General features: G+C 39.5%; 1 protein-coding gene across 3 annotated transcripts in view, besides 1 other annotated feature; it reads left to right on the top strand.

The window, feature by feature from the left end:
* The window catches only part of KDM7A (lysine demethylase 7A), a 92,238-nt gene that overhangs the window by 43,467 nt on the left and 29,087 nt on the right, over window positions 1-19,684 (top strand). For 2 of the 3 annotated variants that reach the window (NM_030647.2, XM_047420879.1), the window contains exons 4-9: window positions 3,864-4,024; window positions 5,934-6,075; window positions 6,694-6,880; window positions 8,734-8,896; window positions 12,988-13,075; window positions 14,298-14,404. In NM_030647.2, coding sequence (NP_085150.1) covers window positions 3,864-4,024; window positions 5,934-6,075; window positions 6,694-6,880; window positions 8,734-8,896; window positions 12,988-13,075; window positions 14,298-14,404 — 848 coding nt within the window. Of the gene's footprint in view, window positions 1-3,863; window positions 4,025-5,933; window positions 6,076-6,693; window positions 6,881-8,733; window positions 8,897-12,987; window positions 13,076-14,297; window positions 14,405-19,684 lie in introns of those variants that run through there. The other variant, XM_011516587.3, reaches the window with a different exon arrangement.
* Window positions 7,651-8,151: an enhancer, noted in NCBI's record as "H3K27ac hESC enhancer chr7:139825166-139825666 (GRCh37/hg19 assembly coordinates)". NCBI's record gives its function as "activates a minimal SCP1, AML or CMV promoter by ChIP-STARR-seq in primed H9 embryonic stem cells {active_cell/tissue: H9 hESC(primed)}" and the evidence as "EXISTENCE:reporter gene assay evidence [ECO:0000049][PMID:30033119]".

Below are 19,684 nucleotides of genomic sequence, written 5' to 3'. Positions count from 1 at the left end.
AAGAAAATGTAAGAATGTAAGAATGTCGTCTCATAGAGTGACATTATATAAAGGCAATGTTTTCAAACTTAGGCTGCAACCCATTATTGTCCTCAGCCAGCTTTTCACCTTTTTTCTTCCTTAACGAAATAGAAAAGTATCAGTACATTCCAAGAAATAGCAGTAAGTAAGCATATTTTCATGGAACTTTTGTTACATCTATGTGCACACTGGGTCACCCTGTAAAAACATTTAAGTGTGGGCCACAGTCCAAAAAGTTTGAAATACACTAATCTGAGGGAGTTGTTCCCAGTACTTGGTTCCTTATGATATGCAGCTGCTACCTGTTTTGTTTCTTTTGCCTCACCTTCTCTTGTTTTCCCAACTCTGCTTTTTCTCCATTGCTTTTATATGCATCTCTGCCCTACATCCACCAGAAGCACACACAACCACTGCAGGGGTGGGCTTTTTGATTTTTTAAAAAATAATGGAATATATTTGAGTTGTCTGGCTCAAAGAGAGTGGAAAGCATTATAAAGCATTTAATCATGCTAATTTAGATCATTTCCTACTCACTGCCTGACATCTATTTCAAGTGATAATGCTTAATAGGCTTTTACACAAGATCATAGTCAGGCTTGTTAAAGAGGGGAAGCACAATTTAAATTTAAATCACAGTATCACATGCAGCTTATTATGGAATTATTTCAGATCCTGAAACGATAAAACCCCTGCTATTTCTCCTCAGTCTTTAGAATTCCTCTCTAGCCCCCTGCCCCTTAATCCTTATGCAGAAACATATAATGGTAAGTATCTACTGTTGGCTCCCTCAGGTCTGTTGAGAGACAGAAAGAACACATATTTAAAATGTAGTGTTTCCACGTGATTTTTGTGGTGTTAAATACCCTATTCGCAAATATTCTTTTTTATCAGTTTCCAAGTTGTAGGATAAATGTTTGCGTGTTTTCTTTTTTATTGGCTCATGCTTGATTGGTTTGGCACCTAGGCCCAAAGTTTTCAGTCTGCTTCTGGTGGTGGGTCTAAGAGAGGTTTGTGAGCTCCCTAAAATGGTATGTATAATTTAGAGTCAGTTGGGAGTGTCCATTTCTCAGGGAGAGGAGCTATAGCTTTCTTTTTTTTTCTAAATAGGTTTCTGACACAAAAATGTAGTGTTAAAAACACTGGCCTAATAATTTATGTGACTTTACTGCCTGCCAGTGACCACAAATGAGAACGGGTTATAGAGATGATCACAAATGTCCAAAATGTAATTACCATTAGTTCAGGGTCTTTGGGTTTTAATGCCACAAAGCTTTACATCATTTCAAACCATAGTAGAATAGCAGTAATTATTAAATTACACATGCTTGATATGATTAACACAGAGGTGTGTAAAATAAAGTGAATGAATTATCTTTCCCCTCCCCTATTTTAAGACTTAGTGTAAGTTTTTTGAGACCCTTTTCTACATAAAAACATTAAAACATTTATGTATATGGATGTATGGATATACATAATATTCTTAAAATGGGGTTATGTTATGCATAGTGTTGTACAATTTGCCTTTTTTACTCTATTATGTTTCATAGATATCCTTCCATATGTATGCATAGATTTGCCTCACTCCCTAAATGTTGTGAGGTATGTAGTAATCTATAGGTACCATAATTTGCTTAACCGTCCCCATATATGTTTAGTTTGTCTCCAGATTTTCCTCTTGCAAAAAATGTACCTATATTTTAAACACTTGTCATTATGTATGTTTGATCAAAAGGGGAAATAAAACACCAAACATGTGAGATCAGGGAATACAAGTGATTTAAAATTCTCCCTTAGACTGAAGTTGAAGGAATTATTTAATCCTCAGAGGTTGGGGGAAGGAGGGACAATTGTGGATGCTTATTGGGGAAACTAAGAGGTAATACAGAGCTCCAGTTCAGTAGATGAGTCAAATGAAGAAGAACAAGATTATCTAGGAAAGGACTCTCAGTTTTCTTAGGCCTTAGGCTTGCCCTTGCCTTACGAGAGGATGGGAAGATCAGAGCCCAGTAATTCAGAGAACCAGCATCTCCTGTCTTCTTGCTACCTAGGCAGCAGATGACATCAGATAGTTAAGATCTGATTGTATAAGTGGAGACTATTGTGTTTTAACCTTTAAGGCAAGTGTCACACTTAATTTTGAATGTGTAGCAGCTGTAGAGCAATTGGGAGATTAAAAACTGGAATGCCCCATTGGAAGAGATCTGGTGGGCAAAGGGACAAACTCCACTTATGTTAATGTAATGCCTGTAACGTGTTGATCATCAGAGAGGGCAACTGGAGATCCAACCATTCTTGGCTTAAAGTTACTACCTAGTATTAAGACTTACTAGGCCTGGCGCGGTGGCTCACGCCTGTAATCCCAGCACTTTGGGAGGCCGAGGTGGGTGGATCATGAGCTCGGGAGATCAAGACCATCCTGGCTAACACGGTGAAACCCTGTCTCTACTAAAAAAAACAAAAACAAAAACAAAAAAATTAGCCAGGCGTGGTGGCGGGCGCCTGTAGTCCCAGCTACTTGGGAGGCTGAGGCAGGAGAATGGCCTGAACCCAGGAGGCGGAGCTTGCAGTGAGCTGAGATCACGCCACTGCACTCCAGCCTGGGCGACAGAGCAAGACTCTGTCTCAAAAAAAAAAAAAAAAAAAAGACTTATTAAATACTGGTTGTAACGGGTCATTTAAATCAGTAGTTGTCAATGGGAGCATTTTGGACACTTGTCTCAGTGGGTGGGGACCAGGGATGCTAGTCATCTTTCAATATGCAGAACAAGAATTAATTGTTCTATGTTCCATTAGACTTTAGATAGTTGTGTAGAATTTTATAGTCAGATAAAATCTGACTCGTTTTTGTTTTTTATTTTTTATTTATTTATTTTTGAGGTGGAGTTTTGCTCTTGTCACTCAGGCTGGAGTGCAATGGTGAGATCTCGGCTCACTGCAACCTCCGTCTCCCAGGTTCAAGCGATTCTCCTGCCTCAGCCTCCCAAGTAGCTAGGATTACAGATGCCCACCACCACACCCAGCTAATTTTTGTATTTTTAGTAGAGACGAGGTTTCACCATGTTGGTCAGGCTGGTCTCAAACTCCTGACCTCAGGTGATCCACTCACCTCAGCCTCCCAAAGTGCTGGAAATTACAGACATGAGCCACCGTGCCTGGCCTGACTAGTTTTTATTCTAATGCACACTCTACCTTTTGCTCTCCCAAATTTCTACGCATCCTGTATCAAGTGGCTTCTGGTGTTTCTACTTAACTTAAATCTAACCGTTCATTACAACTAGTTGTAAGCATCCTATTATTTTATGATGTCTTCTAGTGTAGTTTACATACTAAAATACAGGTTGAGTATCCCTTATCCAAAATGCTAAGGAACAGAAGTGTTTCAGAAATGATTTCAGATTTTTTTTTTCTTTTGGAATATTTGCATTATACTTAGCAGCTGAGCATCCCTAATCGGAAAATCTGAAATGCTCCAGTGAGCTCTTCAATTCTCAAAACATTTTGGATTTTGGAGCATTTTAGAGTTTGTATTTTTGGATTAGGGATACTCAACTTGTACATATTTTACTATAAACTGGTTGGTTTTTTCTTTTTGCATTTAGACCAGTTTATATATATTTCTAATTATATGTATTGAATTGTGTATATTACATTATCTATAAATTTTAGTTTAGGATAGCAAAAGGAGATTTACAAAACATTTGTCATTAAAAGAATGAGAAGTGATAGGTTAAGAACCACTGATATAGATAATCCAGTATATGAATTAACCCATCACTACCGTATTTTTTTTAAACTGACCTTACCAATAAAAATGACATTTTTATTCTTATGTTTTTCCTTAGTGCCGATGAAATAATTATAAAGATGCATGGCAGCCAGCTGACACAAAGATATCTGGAGAAACATGGATTTGATGTCCCTATTATGGTCCCAAAATTAGATGATCTAGGACTCAGGCTCCCTTCACCTACATTTTCTGTGATGGATGTGGAACGTTATGTAGGTACGAACTTTATTTCTTTAAGTACCTGGGAAAACATGGTAAAAGTAAAAATGATAGTCCTGGTAATATTAATGGTTAAATGAAGAAATGTCAATTTAGTTTTCTGCTCAGAAAAGTGAGGCTCAGTATCATCTATATTGAAAACTAGTTTTTCTCAGCAGACCTACAACTGTCAGAAAAACAGAATGACAATTTACTTGATTTTATTTACTCAGCTTCATCCTGCTGCTTTCTTTTGTGCCATTAAGTTCTCTGATACTTGCTTAGGGAAAATCATTACTGAGGGATAGATATAGATACCAGGAAGAAGATATTGGAAAGTTGGATTGGTTGTAGGCATCTGTAGAATACAGGTGCAAAATTCCCAGATCCCAGTACACCAGCTGCACAGTTAGTCCTCTGGAGTCTGCTTTGTGACCTGCTGCTGCTTAGAGGAAAGGTGGTAAAAAGAGCAGATCATTTTCAAATCTGTTTTTATAATAATGACTTGGTGAATATTGCCATTTAATGATGTCTGGACTTAATTTTTGATTTTGAAAATTCCCCAAAGAAACAGAAAGACATGAGAAATAAGGGGGATCCCCTATACCCCTTGCCATGTTGTTGACATTTTCAGTCATTTCATTAATTCTCGTGATATTTACAGATAAAGCTGACTATATGTAGATGTCATTTCTTGTCAGCAGTAGATAGAGAATATTTGAGATTAGATTCCAAATCTATTTTGACTCAAAATTGTATATTTACTATATTATCTCCTCAGCATGGAATATCTGAGAACTTGTCCCTTTATCGAGCCATTGGTTGACAATTCTCATTGATTATTGTTTCACTGAGGAAATCTAACTAAGTATTGTAACTTCACATTCAGCTAAATTTGAATATTTGACAAGTGAGAGGATGGGGCTAAGGATTAACCTGAACCTATTTGCGTAGATAGCATCTGCAAAACAAATAGCTAGTGTAATACATGTGCAGGAAAAAAATGCTCAAACTGCTTGATAGCTAACTTTTTGGTACTGCAGAGCACTTCAGTTAAATACTATGAGCAGAACCGTGTTGCCTCCTGATGATAAAGAAGTCTATAAGGCAAGACTTTCTTAACCTATATGAAGTTGCATTAAAGTAAGAAAATGGCATTTATTTGTTTTCTATTTCAGATTGGTTAAGTATTGCCATATTTTGAATTCTACCTTATCCCATAGTCCATTGTCAAACTAATTATGCTTCCTAGTGTAGCAGTGCAGTGGTCTGTAAACACCACTTCATGGGTTTATACGAAAACTGTAAATTAATCACAATTTGGAACTCAGGCCTTCGGACACTGGTACTAATGTGAACTGATTTTTGCTTCCCAATCACTAATTTTTTCTTAAAGGAGAATATTAGAAGACAGTATCAGGAGGGCAGAAATTATCCTGGTCAACTTGCATGCTAATTCCCCAATGAGTGATGTGTTTTTTTTTGAAATGATAGCCTTAGAATATTTTAGGTGTTACAAAAGTGAAAGGGAAAAGTCAGTCTCCTCATTTTATGCCTGAGAAAACTGAAATCCAGACAGTGTTGCACAATTTCTACATGCCAATATAATGTATTTTTTTGTCATTATGAGCTGTACACCAAGATATCATTAGTATACAGAAAGCTTTGTAAGCCATATACACTTTTATATTCAGTGTAAATTGTGCAGCTCTGTCTTACTGCTTTCCTTTTCCTCTGAAAAATGTCCCTTTTTTCCTGAAAGGTCCAGTTGAACTTGAGAAATTAAGAGTATAGGGAAAATATTTGTCTAGACTACATAGTTTTATAGTTGGTTTAATTATCATACCAAGTTAAAATATTTTTTGATTAGAGCATCTGCTGATGTAACTCTTAAGTCCAATAATAAGACTGTAATTTTTCTCTGCAGGTGGTGACAAAGTGATAGATGTCATTGATGTGGCGAGGCAGGCAGACAGCAAAATGACACTTCACAATTATGTTAAATACTTCATGAATCCTAACAGACCAAAAGTGTTAAATGTGATCAGCCTTGAATTTTCAGATACAAAGTGAGTAGTTCTGGGTATTTTGGTTTAGCATTCTGAGTGTTAGCTAAATGTAGTGTAATGATGTATTTATTTTAGGAAGAAACATAGTTGTGACTTCTAAAGTTGTCCAGTGGTAGCAATGTTATAAATTTTGCATTGGGACACTCAGAGATACTTAGAAATAAGATGTATTTTAAACTTTTGGCTGGGCACAGTGGCTTATGCCTTAATCCCAGCATTTTGGGAGGCCAAGGCGAGTGGATCGCTTGAGGCCAGGAGTTCAAAACCAGCCTGGCCAACATGGCGTAACCCCCTCTCTACTAAAAATACAAAAATCAGCTGGGCATGGTGGCACATGCCTGTAATCCCAGCTACTCAGAGAGGCTGAGGCACGAGATCTCTCGAACCCGGCAGGATGGAGTTTGCAGTGAGCCAGGATCGCGCCACTGCACTCTAGCCTAGGCGACAGAGCAAGACTCTGTCTCAAAAACAAACAAACATGTGTTTTAAACTTTTAAGTGTTGTTGTTAACCTTAAGTTCCATTTAATTATTTGGTTTGGGAATAGATGAGAAAAACAATTCTTAAGAATTTTTAATTTGCATGATGTGGGTGTGTGTGTATGTTTGTTTTTTGAAAGGATGTCTGAATTGGTGGAGGTCCCTGATATAGCCAAAAAACTTTCCTGGGTGGAAAATTATTGGCCAGATGATTCAGTCTTTCCCAAGCCATTTGTTCAGAAATATTGCTTAATGGGAGTTCAAGACAGCTATACAGATTTCCACATTGACTTCGGTGGAACTTCAGTCTGGTACCATGTCCTCTGGGTAAGATTGGGGTATTTTTTGTTCTCTCACTGACAAAAACATATAGCCCTAGTTTTTCAGTGGTATATTCATTTCTTGTAAATGTTACTTGTAAAGGGGGAAGTTTTTTTTTTTTTTTTTACTTTTTAACCAGGAACTGTCACTTTGCCTTTAAACGTTACGATTTTTTTTTTTAATCTCAAATAATGGAAGAGCCATGACTTTTAAATTTATATTAGATTTACTTTCTGCCCTCATCTTTTAAGTTGGTTTCTTTTAGGCTTTTGTCTCTTCTTGATTTTTTTTCCCCTAGTTAATTATCCTTTAATCCCTGAATTAAATATCTGTGAAGGAGCAAAATTACAGTAATAATTGCTTCTGGCCTTAATGTTGGGCTAGGATAGCTTGTTGGATAAGTCAGGAATGCCTATAAAAATACCAGTTCTTGGCTGGGTGTAGTGGCTTACACCTATAATCCCAGCGCTTTGAGAGGAGGCCAAGCTGGGAAAATTATTTGAGCCCAGGAGTTCAAGACCAGCCTGAGCAACATAGTGAGACCCTGTCTCTAAAAATAAAAATAAAAACATTAGCCAGGCATGGTGGCTCATTCCTGTAGTCACAGCTACTCAAGAGGCTCAGGCAGGAGGATCACTTGAGCCCAGGAAGTTGAGGCTACAGTGTGCTGTGATTGCACCACTGCATTCCAGCCTGGGCAACAGAGCGAGATCCTGTCTCTAAAAATAAAAATAAAAAAAGTAGCCAGGCATGGTGGCTCATGCTTGTAGTCACAGCTACTCAAGAGGCTGAGGCAGGAAGATCACTTGAGCCCAGGAAGTTGAGGCTGCAGTGTGCCGTGATCACTCCACTGCACTCCAGCCTGGGCAACAGAGCAAGAACCTGTCTCTAAAAGTAAAAATTAAAAAATTAGCCAGGTGTGGTGGCTCATGCCTGTAGTCGCAGCTACTCAAGAGGCTGAGGCAGGAGGATCACTTGAGCCCAGGAAGTTGAGGGCGCAGTGTGCTGTGATTGCACCATTGCACTCCAGCCTGGGCAACAGAGCGAGACCCTATCTCAAAAAAACAAAACAAAAGACCAGTTATTTGCAATTTATATTCACCTTGCTTTATCTAGAGCTGCATTGTTCAAAACAGTTGCCACTAGCCATGTGTGACTAAATTTAAATAATTAAAATGGAATGTAATTAAAAATTCAGTTCCTCGTTTATACTAGGCACATTTCAAGTGCTCAGTAGCCACATGTGGCTAATGGCTACTGTGTTGGTTAGCACAGATACAAAAAATTTCCATCAGCACAGAAAGTTGTATTGGAGAGTACTGATGTAGAAAGTCAGTCTTCATCTATATCAAATGCTTGTGCCTCAGCAATGTTCTGGGCTATATTTGTTGCTGGGTCCTTGGGTTCCTGTTTTTTTCCTTCATGAAGTAGCAAAGAATTAGTTTATTAAAGGAAGCTTATTTATAGGTTTTTAAAAATAATTATGCTGTGGATCTTAGTAGAAAGGGCAAAGCTTGCAGAGATGACTGTGGGCCTGTCAACACATATTTACTTCTCTATTTGACAATGAGAGGAGGTCAGTGGGATGTTTGTGCTTCTCTGCCCTCCTGTCTTGCAGCTATTTCTTCAACACTACTTTATTGACTCCTTGTCAGTTGAGGAGGGGGAGCTTTAAACATGAAAATGTTTACTAAGGGCAATAGCTACTGATCAGGTGTGTGAAATATGTCTTTTGAACCTAAAAGAATCTGATAATTATCCAATTTAATTTGTATCATTGTATTGAGAAATTGCATCAATGTAGGCTATCCTAAGTATGGCTTTTGCTTTTTCAAAAATAGTATGATACTTCCTTTTAGGGTGAGAAGATTTTTTATTTAATAAAGCCAACAGATGAAAATTTGGCACGTTATGAATCTTGGAGTTCATCTGTGACCCAGAGTGAGGTGTTCTTTGGAGATAAGGTGGATAAATGCTACAAATGTGTGGTAAAGCAGGGACATACCTTATTTGTTCCTACAGGTAAGGTTTTCATCCCATCCCCTACTCAACATGATTGATAGTCACATGGAGTTGGCTTTTAACTAGAACCTCTGGCTTTAACATGTTTGGAAAGTAGTTTTTATGACATTTGTTAAGAAATAATTCTGATCTTGGACTTTTATGTTTTGTTCCTTAGAGGGTTTCTCTTCTAGTTAGGACTTCTTTTGGCATTGTATTTATATCATTTGCCTTCATTTTTATTTTTATTGAGAAAAAATTCACATACCACAATATTCACCCTTTTAAAGTGTACAGCTCAGTGGTTTTTAGTAGATTAATAAAGTTGGGCAAATATCACCACTATCTAATTCCAGAACATTTTCATTGTCTCAAAAAGAAACCTCATACTCTTTAGCAGTCACTTCCCATTCCCGCCTCCACTGAGCCCCTGGCAACCACGAATGTACTTTCTGTCTCTGTGGATTTGCCTCTTTGGATACTTTATGTTGATGGAATCATACAATATGTGGGCTTTTGCGTCTAGCTTCTTTCACTTAGCATATTATTTTCTTACTTTTTTTTTTTTTTTTGAGACAGAGTCTTGCTCTGTCGCTCAGGCTGGAGTGCAGTGGCCTGATGTCGGCTCACTGCAAGCTCCCCATCCCGGGTTCGTGCCATTCTCCTGCCTCAGCCTTCCAAGTAGCTGGGACTACAGGCGCCCGCCACCATGCCTGGCTAATTTTTTGTATTTTTAGTAGAGACCGGGTGTCACGTGTTAGCCAGGATGGTCTCAATCTCCTGACCTCGTGATCCGCCCACCAAAGTACTGGGATTACAGGCGTGAGCCTCCACGCCCGGCCGGCATACTATTTTCTAGGCTTATCCATGTTGTAGCATGTATCATTACTTCATCTTTTCATGGCCCAGTAATGTTCCATTGTGGGATATACAGGTTGAGCATCCCTAATGCAAAAGTCCAAAATCTGAAATGCTCCAAAATTGAAAGCTTTTGAGCATCTGCATGACCCTCAAAAGGAAATGCTTACTGAGGCATTTTGGATTTTGGATTTTCAGATTAGGGATGCTCAGCTGGTAAGTATGTAATGCAAATATTCCAAGATCCAAAAAAAATGTGAAATCTGAGTACTTCTGGTTCCAAGCATTTTGGATAAGGGGTACTCAGCTTTACCGTATTTTGTTTATCCATTCACCAGTTGGTGGACATTGGGTTGTTTCCACATTTTGACTATTTGAATGGTGCTGCTTCGAACATTTGTATACAGTTTTTTATGTGGAGGTATGTTTTCATTGCTTTTGGGTAAATATAGCTTGTAGTAGAATTGCTGCATTACATGGTTTAACTACGTTTAACTTCTTGAGGAATTGCTGACCCGTTCTCCAAATGGCTGCACCATTTTACGTTACCACCAGCAGTGTATTTGGGTTCCAGTTTCTCCACACCCTCACCAGTGCTGTAATTGCCTTCTATTCTATTCTAGTGGGTGTGATGTGTCATGATTTGGATTTGCATTTCCTTAATGAGTAATGATGCTGAGCATTTTTCTTGTTGGGCATTTGCATATTTTCTTTGGAGAAATGTCTATTCAAACCCTTTGCTCATTTTAACATTGGGTTGTCCTTTTTAATTGTTGAGTTTGTAAGCATTCTTTATTCTCTGTACTAGACCCATATCAGTATGTATGATTTGCAAATAATTTGCTCCCATTTTGTGGGTTATCTGCTCACTTTCTTGATAATATCCTTTGATGCACAAAAGTTTTTAATTTTGATAGTCTTAACTATGGTCAGCTCTCCATTGCTGTTAAAAACCAAGCCTGTAAGAATCTGGGCTGCTGTCCCAGGACAGTTAGGACAGCATAGGGTGTGTCTTGAGAGACCCTCAAAGAAAGGACTGAGTATCAGCCTTAGCTGTAGCCTCAAGTATAGGTATCAGGCCTCTCATTTTGAGATGTAAATGAATGTAGAGTATAGACTGTCCAGACCAGTGGTTTCGAGAACTGTGTGCTGGTTTTGGTGACCCTAATGACTGTAAAGTTCACAGGGATCTGTCCCTGCAGGTCCTGCTGAAAGCCTTGCCTCTGGTGTATATAATAACAAATGTATGTTGAATAAATGAAGACATGCCTTAGAACTACCAGAATATTTGCCTAGATTAGTAACAGTATTTTCATTGTGAATGGGCTCATTCACATTGTGAATGCCCCTCCCTTAAATCTTCCTACTTCTTGCTTTTATGTTAGGTATTTCTAATATAATCATAAATTGACATTTATGATTCTTCAAATCATAAATTGACATTCATAGAATAATTTTTTAAATTGATTTAATGTCCTAACTAGAATATAAAGAAGAAATAAAAAGGTAATTTATAATGAAATGCTATTTCAGTATGTGCCTGTCTAGGCACAGCAGCATTAGAGAACAGAATGAAATAGTAATTGCATAAGGAAGGAAATCAATCTAGGTGTGTGTCAGTGGCAACACAAATTCTATCAGTAGCACTGGTGTAGGTACTGATACTTCCTGGAATATCAGAATCACATGGAGGGCTGGTTACAACACAGATTGCTGGACGTCATGGCCAAGGTTCGGATTCTGTGGATCTGGAGTGGGCCTGAGAATGTGCATTTCTAACAAGTTATTGGCTGATTCAGGTGCTGCTGGTATGGGGACCATATTTGGAGAACCACTGCTGTAGGCAATGTAATTCTTTTCCCAAGGTTGTTAGTGACTGATAAGCTTCCAAACTACAGTACAGTTTTTGTGTTTCAGGAAATTGTGCCAAAACCATGAAAATATACTGTGTGTGGGTGTCTGTATATACAGATATATATAATAATATATAATAATGGAGTTCTAATTTCTAGGCTCAGATAGTTAATAGGACAGGCTTTGTACCTATATGAATGCGCAGGAAAATTTGGCAGTCCCGAGTGATGCAGGACAATTTCATTTTGTATGGAACTGTCTCACATATTGTACTCCTGGCTCCCACTCACAAAATGCCAGTAGTGCTCCCAGATCATTGTGACAATCAGAAAAGCCCCTAAACGTTCCAAAACATCCTGAACAGGCAGTACTGCCGCTATTGAGAACCACTGATGTGTAGGATTTGGAGTTGGCACAGACTGCTAATTTGTGGTTTCAAGGTCAAGCTCAAGGCTTTGTGCCTTTGAGCACAGCAATGGGCACACTTGAAAGTGAGTCCTTTGAGGGTTTTTTGTTTTGTGTTACAGTTCAGTGAGGGGTCAAAAGATGAAAAATACAAAGAAAACGGGATTTGTGTATTTTAAAAGCTAATTTGCATACAAATATGTGTTTGTATTTATTTCTGGTGAAGTCTTGAAGTCTGCCAACATTTTTTTCAAAAGTTAGACGTCATGTCTTAGAAATGGTTTTCACTTTGTAAGCATTTGTATGGGAATACAAAATATCATTTTTTGGCAACACCTATATTTGTAGGACCATAACCCTTCATAATTAAATGTGAGTAATCTACCTTTTCCTTCTACAGAGTCAGGTCTCAGGTTGACTCCTCTGATCCTCCTCTGCTTAGTCCTTTCGGGGCACTGATTTCAGGATGACACCAGGGCGATGGAGTGTCCCATCAATCCCAGTGTGTTCTCTAATGGAAAATGTGCTTTTCTAATTCAAACCAGATTTGGCTGGTCTCAAAGAGTAAAATCTTTAATATAAAGTTGGGTTGTGTTTTTAAGCTAAAAAACAAAAACAGGCTGGGCACAGTGGCTCACGCCTTAATTTCAGCACTTTGGGAGGCCAATGTGAGAGGATGACTTTGAGGCCAGGAGTTTGAGATCAGCCTGGGCAACAAAGTGAGACCCCATCTCTATTTTTAAAAAGAAAAAAACAAATACAGTAACAACTACAAAAACCGTCACCTTATTTCTCAAACTCAGCATAGAGCCTACCATATAATAGGCATTTAATAAATAATTAAATCTATAGATTGTAATAAACATTAACTTCTCTAGCACTGAAATATGAAGTAAACTGATATTGATATTTTGAGTTACTTCACAGGTAGATATCCTATTGGTTTAGTTTACATATTGAAAAATGACTGGTTTATATATTTTCAACCATTTTAGGGTGGATCCATGCTGTGCTCACTTCTCAGGACTGTATGGCTTTTGGGGGGAACTTCCTGCACAACCTTAACATTGGCATGCAGCTCAGGTTTGTGTCATCAGTATTTAAATGACCTTTTGTCCTTTTTAAAAATAGGATACTTTTTTTTTTAACTTAAAAAAAATCAATAGCTTATTTTATTTGAGATTCCATGGAAATAGTCCCTGAGATATTATTAGGGATAGAAGCTTTTAACAAAAGTAGTATTTTAAAATTTTGCCAGGAGGATAATTTGCATTTCAAATCTAAAACAACAACAACAAAAGGGAACTTATTCAGATAATATTCCAAATTTCAAAATTTTGTGAAAATGTATGTGTTCTTCTTTGGCTATTTTTGCAGTGAGGGAGATGAACAAAATCTAGTCAGACTCAGATGTGACATATGGTGCTAGAAAAAAGCAACCGTAAGTCAGGACTGCTATCAAAACACCTGCTTTAATTTTGCTGCAGGTAAAGGATTAATAGCTGTTTCTCCTCTATATGAGAATTTGACCTTTGCGTAACTCTCTTCTCCTAGTAGTCTAATGAGTGTTGACTTTTACTAGGTAACATTGCTTATGGTAAAAATGATTCCTGATTGATAAACTGCATCAGGACTGGGAGAACTAGAAATACCTAGTAAGAAGCCATATCTCTGGACTTGCCTGAATGTGGTAACTCTTGTAACTTGGCACACTCATAGAGATCCCTAGAAGCTATGCATCTGTGTGTGGCGTTATTAGGGGAGATAGTGGCTTTTACAGGGCATAAGGCTTTAAGCAGCCTTAAACAGCTCCCACACCTACCAAGTGTGGATCTTGTCTTTTTGTACCTGAGCTGTCCCTGAGGGAGGGATGGCTCCTGTTTAATTCTTGCCAAGTGTGGTCTTGAGCTGGAATGCCTAGTGGAGCCTAAATAAAACTTTTTTGGGTGGGTATTGCACTGTTGTCTAACACATAGAGGTGTTTTCTGAAACACACAGTTTTATTTATTGTAGTAGAACCCTCGTAAAAATGTCTTTTGTTAAAACCAGGATACAAATCCCAAAGTGTGATCCTGATCTTCTGTGAAGTCCAATACAATTCTTAAGTATACCATCAAATTCCTTAAAGTCAGAACCTGGATAAGATCACAATTCAGTCTTGTCCAAATGTGATGTTGCTAAGAAATGTAAAATACTTTATTGGTCTTACATATCATGACCTGGTTATTTTATTTTCCAGTTGGTTACTTTCATCTAACTTTGAAATTCTAATATTAATATTAAAAATTTCTTCAAACTCATTTAGGTGTTATGAGATGGAGAAAAGGCTAAAAACACCAGATCTTTTCAAATTCCCTTTCTTTGAAGCCATATGTTGGTTTGTAGCCAAAAACTTGCTGGAAACCCTGAAAGGTAATTAATAATTTGCATGTTTGTATATGATATGATGCATATTGTTTGTAAATTCACTCATAGCCACCTGACAGAAAGAGTCCCTTTTCTAGTAGTGTATGGATGTCACTCCTATTTTGTTTTTTAAATAAGTGGTTTTCCCCCATCCAGCAACCTTTTTAGCAAGTTAGAGTCTTTAGTCCATAACCTGACAATCCATGTTCTTAAAAATTTGTTATGAAAGACCTGGATCAGAACAACGTAGGTAATATTAGAAATGTTCATTCCATCTAGTCCTCTAGAAGCCTGCATACATCATCAAGCACGTAACAGTGCCTGACTCTCAAAAATGCAGTTTATGTCAAGAGACTGTTACCTATTATATGTTCCCAAAATTTGCTTTTAAAAAAGCAAACTAGGCTGGGCACAGTGGTTCACGCCCTAATCCTAGCACTTTGGGAGGCCGAGGCAGGCAGATCACCTGAGGTCAGGAGTTCAAGACCAACCTGGCCAACATGGTGAAATCCTGTCTCTACTAAAAAAAAAAAAAAAATACAAAAATTAGCCGGGCATCGTGGTGCATGCCTGTAATCCCAGCTACTTGGGAGGCTGAGGCAGGAAGAATCGCTTGAACCCGGCGGGAGGCAGAGGTTGCATTGAGCCGAGATCATGCAATGGCGACAGAGCAAAACTCCATCTCCAAAAAAAAAAAGTCAGGTTATGATTCTGTAGTTGAAGAAAAAAAACCTTTTTTGAACTTGTCTTTATAGTTGAACCCAAAAGCTACTTTATAAAAGGTGGAATTTCAGACTTTGATGTTTTAATCTTTTGGTTTAATTATCTTTGAGCACTCAAGTTGGAGACTGATGTCACTTGCTTCTGTTTTCTGCTTTTCATCCTCTTGTGCTAGTGAGAATAGTTTGTCTGCTTTTTGTGTTGTCTAACTTTTCTAGTCAGTTTGTAAATAGTGCTACTATTATAATTGACAACTCTCAGAATAGACATAAACAGATTAAACAGTAAAGTTTATTGTGAACATTTGCTTCTTTTTCCATTTTAAAGTTAAACAAGAAGAAAAGGTAAAATGAAAAGAAATAACCAAAAATTTACTTCCCAAGATAGGATGTACAGAACTAAAATGATAAAACTCATATAACAATGGTACCCTAAACCCCCCACCTCACAGCATAGTGCAGAGATGTCCTGGCAGTGCTTCTGGTGTATGGGATAGGGGTAGAATCCCATGCATGAGAAGGAGACAGGTCCTTTCTTTACAAGACCAGTCTTTGCTCCAGAAATGAATCCTTATCGTGAATCCCTGACACATTCAGTGTTTTCAGTTATTTTTCTTGGCTGTGGGAATGTCACAATGGACTGTAGAGTGTCATACATAATTTTCAGTAAAATACTGGACAATAGAGTTTATAGTCTCCCATTTAAGTACAAGCCTAGACAGACAGGAACACTTATATACTTATAAAAACACAAATTTCCTTGTTTTGTGGAAATAAATCCCAACTATTGAACCTTCTGGTTAAGAGATTGACAACTCTATACTTGGTTCAGGATACTTTCTCCCCTCTTTTCTCTCTGTCCCAAGACTCCAAGTTCCTGTCTTATGGTTAGCTAGGAGAAACTATCCACGAACACACACACACACACGCCTCTACCCTTGGGGTGATGCACAGTGGTTTTTTTTTTTCTACTAATGTCTAAGAGAAGCTCATTCTTTAACTTCTTAAAACAAATTAAGAGCTTTACCTGAAAGACAAAATCTTGCCATTGCTCGTGAAGCCACAGGAGCAATTTGCTTAGTCTTAGAACTATTTAGTCTTTGTGTTAGGCCATCAAAAGTTCAGAAACATGGAGGTCTGATTGAAAGTATGACCATACGTTAAAGACTTTTTTAAAAAGGATTATTAGAAAAGGGTATTTGTGGGTTGTTTTAAGATGTTTCATTTTATTAGCCAGATCAGTGTAGAATACCTGGCAATCATAGTGATTCAATCCAGTCTCATCAAGGCAAAAGCCAATTGATCATTATAGCAATTGCCATCATTTTAAGCATTCATCCTGGAAACAGGAATAGTGGTCTTGTGACCCCAAATTATGTCGTTCTTTTATCCGTAACCTTTTTACTTTACATTGTGGCCTATTGTTTGCCAGCTCTCAGACTGTTCTAAGGCTTATATGGTGGGTTAAATGAGGTTGAATCACCTGAAACTCTTTACTGTGTTTCATGTCAGTGATAGTAAAACAGTGAACCAGTTTGGATTTGTGTAAGGAAATTAGCCACTGTGCAGAAGCGAAATCCTTTGTTTCAACTTAGCTGAATTTTGGACCACATCTAATATATTTTGTTTGTTTTAGATTATCACAATTTGATTAAAAAACTCAAGACATTTTTGTTGATGTGTGTTTATATTTACTTTATTATGTTATTAAAATAGTTGATTATATAGATCACACACGCACTGCATACACACACACACATTCATACCGTGTAAAGAATAAGGCTGTTCTTACTCAGGTAACCACCACCCAAATTAAGCAAAAACAGCCTTGCCAATACCTTAGAAATGCTCTGTTACCTTTCTCATTACACCTTTCCGCTTCCCTTCTAGAGATAACCATTATCCTGACCTTTGTGTTAATACTTTTCTTCAGTTTTATCACCTGTGTTATAAACTAAAATAATTTAATTTTCTCCATTTGTAAACTTCCTACAAATAAATTCATACTGGTATTCTCTTGTAACCTTTTACTCAGCATTGTTTGTGAGATTCATCCATGTTTTTGTGTGTGGCTGTAGTTCTTTTTCATTGCTAGAGTATTCTGTTGTATGAATATACTATGATATACACACACACACACACACTGATTCTGCAAGTTTGACATTTTGGAGTTATTTTTGGTTTTTGACAATTACGGAAAATGCTGCTAAGAAGTTCTTGTCTTTGTCACCTAGTACAAGAATTACTCCAGAAAACAGGCCTAATTGCTAGGTCATAGGTAGAATTTAGCAGTTGCTGCCAAATTGTTTCCAATTCCCATTTCCATGGCAGGGCAAGAGAGTTCCCAAAGCTCTATGCTCTGGCCAACACTTGGTATTGTTAGGTTATAATTTTTGCAAATCTCATGGATATAAAGTAGTATTCTTTGTGCTTTTAATGTGCATTTCCCTGATTATTGATAGAATCGGGTAGTTTTTTTCATATGTGTATAAGCCTTTTTTTTTTATGATAAAAATATTGTATGACATTTATTTTTTTTTTTTACTTTTCTTGTACTATTAATGTTTTATTTTTTTTTATTTATTTATTTTTTTTAAATTTATTTTTTTATTGATAATTCTTGGGTGTTTCTCACAGAGGGGGATTTGGCAGGGTCATGGGACAATAGTGGAGGGAAGGTCAGCAGATAAACAAGTGAACAAAGGTCTCTGGTTTTCCTAGGCAGAGGACCCTGCGGCCTTCTGCAGTGTTTGTGTCCCTGATTACTTGAGATTAGGGAGTGGTGATGACTCTTAACGAGCATGCTACCTTCAAGCATCTGTTTAACAAAGCACATCTTGCACCGCCCTTAATCCATTTAACCCTGAGTGGACACAGCACCTGTTTCAGAGAGCACGGGGTTGGGGGTAAGGTCATAGATTAACAGCATCCCAAGGCAGAAGAATTTTTCTTAGTACAGAACAAAATGGAGTCTCCCATGTCTACTTCTTTCTACACAGACACAGCAACAATCTGATTTCTCTCTCTTTTCCCCACATTTTCCCCTTTTCTATTGGACAAAACTGCCATTGTCATCATGGCCCGATCTCAATGAGCTGTTGGGTTACACCTCCCAGACGGGGTGGCGGCTGGGCAGAGGGGCTCCTCACTTCCCAGAAGGGGCGGCCGGGCAGAGGCGCCCCCTACCTCCCGGACGGGGCGGCTGGCTGGGTGGGGGCTGCCCCCCACCTCCCTCCCTGATGGGGCAGCTGGCTGGCCGGGGGCTGGCCCCAACCTGCCTCCCAGACGGGGTGGCTGGCCGGGCGGGGGCTGCCCCCCACCTCCCTCCCGGATGGGGCGGCTGGCCGAGCAGGGGCTGCCCCCAACCTCCTGGACGGGGCGGCTGCCGGGCAGAGACGCTCCTCACTTCCCGGATGGGGCGGCTGCCGGGCGGAGGGGCTCCTCAGTTATCAGAAGGGGCGGCTTCCGGGCGGAGGGGCTCCTCACTTCTCAGACGGGGCGGCTTCCGGGCGGAGGGGCTCCTCACTTCTCAGACGGGGCGGCTGCCGGGCGGAGGGGCTCCTCACCTCCCAGACGGGGTCGCGGCCGGGCAGAGGTGCTCCTCACATCCCAGACGGGGCGGCCGGGCAGAGGCGCTCCCCACATCTCAGACGATGGGCGGCCGGGCAGAGACGCTCCTCACTTCCTAGACGGGATGGCAGCCGGGAAGAGGCGCTTCTCACTCCCCAGACTGGGCAGCCGGGCAGAGGGGCTCCTCACATCCCAGATGATGGGCGGCCAGTCAGAGACGCTCCTCACTTCCCAGACGGGGTGGCGGCTGGGCAGAGGCTGCAATCTCGGCACTTTGGGAGGCCAAGGCAGGCGGCTGGGAGGTGGAGGTTGTAGCGAGCCGAGATCACGCCACTGCACTCCAGCCTGGGCAACATTGAGCACTGAGTGAACGAGACTCCGTCTGCAATCCCGGCACCTCGGGAGGCCAAGGCTGGCAGATCACTCGCGGTTAGGAGCTGGAGACCAGCCCGGCCAACACAGCGAAACCCCGTCTCCACCAAAAAAATACGAAAACCAATCAGGCGTGGTGGCGCGCGCCTGCAATCCCAGGCACTCGGCAGGCTGAGGCAGGAGAATCAAGCAGGGAGGTTGCAGTGAGCCGAGATGGCGGCAGTACAGTCCAGCTTCCGCTTGGCATCAGAGGGAGACCGTGGAAAGGGGAGGGGAAGGGGGAGGGGCGTTTTCTATATTTTCAATACTATGTTATTGAGTACAAATTCTAAGTGGTTACATACGTCTTTCTGGTGAATTGAATCCTTGGTCATTATGAAATAACCCTTTATTAGTGACAGTTACACCCCCTTTCTTTTGGAAGCTTGGTATCTTTTTCCCATCCTTTTATTTGAAACCTTTCTATATTTTTTAATATGGTATGTGTGCATATTTAACTTATTTTAAAATCTGGCCAGATACAGTGGCTCATGCCTATAATCCCAGCACTTTGGAAGGCCAGGGCTGGAGGACTGCTTGAAGCCAGGAGTTTGAGACCAGCCTGGGCAACATACTGAGACCCCAT

This window comes from Homo sapiens, chromosome 7 (genome assembly GCF_000001405.40).
Source record: "Homo sapiens chromosome 7, GRCh38.p14 Primary Assembly".
Taxonomy (NCBI): Eukaryota; Metazoa; Chordata; class Mammalia; order Primates; family Hominidae; genus Homo; species Homo sapiens.
The sequence above is the reverse complement of the archived record's forward strand: the minus strand, read 5'-3'. Positions and strand labels throughout refer to the sequence as shown.